The sequence below is a fragment of the Homo sapiens genome, chromosome 6 (assembly GCF_000001405.40).
Source record: "Homo sapiens chromosome 6, GRCh38.p14 Primary Assembly".
Taxonomy (NCBI): Eukaryota; Metazoa; Chordata; class Mammalia; order Primates; family Hominidae; genus Homo; species Homo sapiens.
Window position 1 is genome coordinate 42,545,831 of NC_000006.12, and position 4,660 is coordinate 42,550,490.

General features: G+C 45.2%; 1 long non-coding RNA gene across 1 annotated transcript, besides 1 other annotated feature; it reads left to right on the forward strand.

The window, feature by feature from the left end:
• The first annotated feature begins 1,194 nt into the window (after positions 1 to 1,194).
• Positions 1,195 to 3,342, forward strand: LOC124901317 (uncharacterized). Its single transcript, XR_007059578.1, has 2 exons — positions 1,195 to 2,509; positions 3,114 to 3,342. It is a non-coding gene; the product is annotated as an uncharacterized LOC124901317 (long non-coding RNA).
• Positions 2,063 to 2,242: an enhancer, noted in NCBI's record as "active region_24557". NCBI's record gives its function as "activates an Ori minimal core promoter by ATAC-STARR-seq in GM12878 lymphoblastoid cells {active_cell/tissue: GM12878}" and the evidence as "EXISTENCE:reporter gene assay evidence [ECO:0000049][PMID:35858748]".
• Positions 3,343 to 4,660: the final 1,318 nt, after the last annotated feature.

Below are 4,660 nucleotides of genomic sequence, written 5' to 3' on the forward strand. Positions count from 1 at the left end.
GTGTGTATGTTGTGTGTGTGTGTGTTTGTGTTTTGTTGTTGTTTTGAGGCAGAGTCTCACTCTGTTACCCAGGCTGGAGTGTAGTGGTGTGATCTTGGCTCACTGCAACCTCCGCTTCTTGGGTTCAAGAGGTTCTCATGCTGCAGCTTCCAAGACGGGATCTCGCCATGTTGGCCAAGCTAGTCTTGAACTCCTGACCTCAAGTGATCCGTCTGCCTTGGCCTCCCAAAGTGCTGGGATTACAGGCTTGAGCCACCGCGCTCGGCCTAGTTATCATTATTGATAATAATTATTGATAACAGACAATCATTCAGTGCCTTCTAAATGCCAGACTCATTTAACCCCCATTAACACTCTATGAGACAGATACTATTATTATGCCCATTTTACAGATGAAGAAACTAAGATCCAGAGAGATTAGTTAACTCTTCCAAGGTCACTCAGCTAGCAATTGGAGGAACCAGGATTTGAACATACATAAATATTTGTGTATATTCATGAATAGTTTATGGAAAGACATACCCAAGCCGGGCATAGTGGCTCACGCCTGTAATCCCAGAACTTTGGGAGGCCGAGGCAGGTGGATCACCTGAGGTCAGGAGTTCGAGACCAGCCTGGCCAACATGGTGAAACCCTGTCTCTACTAAAAATATAAAATTAGCTGGGCATGGTTGCGCATGCCTGTAATCCCAGCTACTCGGGAGGCTGAGGTAGGAGAATCGCTTGAACCCAGGAGGCAGAGGTTGCAGTGAGCCGAGATCGCACCATTGCACTTCAGCATGGGCAACAAGAGTGAAACTCCATCTCAAAAACAAAACAAAAAAAGGAAAGACACACCCCAAACTCTTAATGGTGATTATCTCTCTACAATGGTACCGAAGGTCTAAGGTCTTTTAAATTGTTTGAATTCTCTTTTTACAGTTAGGGTTGCCAGATAAAATACAGGATGCCCACTTAAATTTGAATTTCAGAAAAAGAACAAATTGATTTTTAGTATAAGTACATCCCATGCAATACTTGGAACACACTTAAATAAAAAATTATTTGTTATGTCTCTTAAACCCAAATTTCACTGGGTGCCCTCTATTCGTATTTTCTAAATCTGACAACCCTACTTTTAGCTAGCCTTCATTTGGCGAGGCCAGCAATTCCCTTCAAAGTGAAATATCCATTCTCCGGCAATGTGCCATAATCTGATAAAGCAGGATTTTAATAGGTGGCCTAATTCAGATACTGAAGTTATTCTGTACAACGATGACAAATTAATTAGGGGTAATTCAGAAACAACTGTGCTTGAAGCTCTGTCTTCCCTTGATTTTTTTGACTGAAAGGGATGTGCCATCAATCATGAGAAAATTCAGGCGCCCTCCAAGATGCAGTTTGGCTCTGCCTCTGCCCGCTAGAGGAATTCACCCTGGACCAGATAGAGGCTTTTGTTTTTCAAGCCCCCTACCACTAAAAAGCAGGCATAGATATTAATGGGCATCTTGGATCCACATCTGGGTATTAGATTATTAGAAGGGCATCAGAATTTGCATGCGGTCCGAACCAGCCACTGCCTCCGAAGCCTTGCAGACCACAGTGCCTGCTGCCCTTCCTCTGGGTCCATATCACCAATCAGAATATGAAGTGTGTCTCCTTAACTGCTGATGACCGGAGCCTTCTGGGAATTCCTGAGGGAGGGGAAGGACTTAGCCTGTGGCTTCTAGTCCTGAGGATGCTCCCTTTGAATGTCAGTTACCAGCTGCTTATGGAAGCTAAGACAAGGGACATCAAGTACTTCGGGGTCCCAAGCTGTATAACAGGAATCGGTCACGTTCAAACAAAAGCTAGCTCCAGTGCTGAAGAGGAACTCCAGAGATCGAAAAGCTCAGCCCCACGGAGGTTGGTCCCTCCTCCGGCACTGCGGAGGCCAGCCTGGGCAAGGGCGCCCCCTGCAGGCTCCCGGCATCGGTGCCGGAGAAGCACGGTGGACTCTGAGCTGCCGCCGGTTTTGTGGGTGGCTTTGCCTCCCTCACTTCTAAAACCTCCAGCGGTGGCGGTCCCCTTATACCCTGCCTGGGGGGGATACTTGGAGAGGAGAATGAGGGGCTTCTTCCCAGTGGGCAGAACCAAAGGCAGTACCGATGACTTGAAGCTGGGCTCTAGAGAGCAAACAAGACTTTCCTGTATTCAAATTCGCAGGCAGTGATTTATGTTTAGGCCACTGGCTTGGCTGCCGGCTGTGGATTCCATTGACTGGCGGACAAAATTAAGCTCCTGGTTCCTCACGTGGATGCCATCAGATCCCTAGTGAAGAATCCCGTGGAACAAAGCTGTAGATGTTCTGATAAGATGAGAGAGGCAGACAAGTGGTCACATGACCAGAGAGACCGTGGAGGAGTGGATGCTGCCTTGGCCTGGGGGAGGACCCAACGTATTTAGCAGTCCACGCACGTGCTACTCACAGCAGCCCTGTGAGCTTATCCTTTCCCTACCCTTTTCTGTGCCTGGAGGCACCGGCCTAAAGGTAGGTTATATTTCACTGCTGCCCTCTCATCAGAGCCAAAACTATGTTGTCACAATTAATGCTGAATTCGGTAAAAGCCACCACTAAGGAGATGTACAGAAAAACAGCATTCCTGATTTCTTAGCATCTGATTTGTCAAGAATGGGTTTATAATCTGAATATAAAATGGCCCTTCCTACTTGCCCATCTCCTAAGCAGCAAGTAAAGGAGGGTGGAGGCATTGACTCCTCACTTTATAGCTGAGGATTTTCACTGACTCAGGAACATGCATGAGGAAGCCTACTGTTCTATCACAAGCCATTTACTCTCCTAATTGCTTCCAACATATAACTCCATGGTGACAGACCAAAGAGTGAGTAACAATAATGGGGACAGGTAAGAGTCCCATCAATAAATTGCCAAAACCCCAAGTACATCTGGTGATGCTACCTATGAAGGGATCTGATAAATACAAATAAGGAATTTTGAACTTTGCTTTGATAAATACAAGTGAAGGATTGGGACAAAGAGTGGGAAAACAAGGGAAAACTAACAAGTAAACAAATGAGTCTAAACTAACAAGTAAACATATGAGTCTAAAATGAAATTTCCCTCTACCTTTTAGGTTCTACATGATGATGGTGACCAATCTGATGAAAATCCACTAAGTAAACTGGGACAGGAACTTATAATTTCACAATTCACCAGAAAGATGAAAGTAAAAATGAAAACTCTTTTTAACTAAATGGTAGATAAATTATGAACAAACTATCCGGGAATCAAATCATAAAGGGGAAGAGGAGGGAGGCCGGGGAAGTACTGAATATGACCATAAACACAAATTTACTACATCAGTTAAGAGATCTTTGATTGAATTTATTTTTTCCAGATCAGAGCAGTTTTTTGTTTGTTTGTTTTGAGACGAAGTCTTGCTCTGTCACCCAGGCTGGAGTGCAGTGGCATGATCTCAGCTCACTGCAATCTCCATCTCCTGGGCTCAAGCTATTCTCCTGCCTCAGCCTCCCGAGTAGCTGGGATTACAGGTACGCACCACCCCACACATCTAATTTTTGTGCGTGTGTGTATTTTCCATAGAGACGTGGTTTCACCATGTTGGCCAGGCTGGTCTTGAACTCCTGACCTCAAGTGATCCACCTGCCTCAGCTTCCCAAAGTGCTAGGATTACAGGCATGAGCCATTGTGCCCAGCCTGATCCTGTTTCTTTTTGTAATGGCGCCTCCTAGTCAAGGATCAGCCCTCAATAAGCATGGGGTTATTCCCTCCAATAGGGAGCAGCACAAGCTACAACTCTAAGAGACTCCTCATGTAGCACTTGTGGACAGACTGAACCCAAAAGGAGCAGACTGGAATGTGTGTAGAGAATAGCCACACTCAATTAATGCTAATTAACACTCAGTTATTTGCAGACCATATAGGTGTGTAAACTCAACTATGGAAGAGTACAACTATTAGCCATTGGCAAAAGCAATTGATGGAAACAAATGCCAACAAAAATTGGTGAGTAAAAATCCTAAATGACTGGGCCAGGTGCGGTGGCTCGCGCCTGTAATCCCAGCACTTTGGGAGGCTGAGGCAGGTGGATCACAAGGTCAGGAGATCGAGACAAACCTGGCTAACACGGTGAAACCCCATCTCTACTAAAAAAATATACAAAAAATTAGCCAGGTGTGGTGGCGGGCGCCTGTAGTCCCAGCTACTCGGGAGGCTGAGGCAGGAGAATGGCGTGAACCTGGGAAGCAGAGCTTGCAGTGAGCCAAGATTGTGCCACTGCACTCCAGCCTGGGCGACAGAGCGAGACTCTGTCTCAAAAAAAAAAAAAAAAAAAAAAAAAAATGACTGGGTATCAATTTTTAAGTACACTACTGCCCTTTCAATAGTTTTAAAAAATGAACACATTTATCACTTGTCTACGGTAAGTTTGTTTAACTGACTCAGCTTGGGAGCCTGGGAATTCTGTTCCTGCAGATTCTGACAGTGGGTGCCGTACTGGATTACTTTTCTAACAGTGAGAAAAGATAGGACAATTTTACCATCCAGGCAAAAGACCAAGTATCTTCTCTGAGAAATCTGACTAGACTAAGAGGAAAGATCAAAAGATACTGGCACTATAGATTTCCTGGTGAAACATCCCAGACAGATCACCCCACAAAA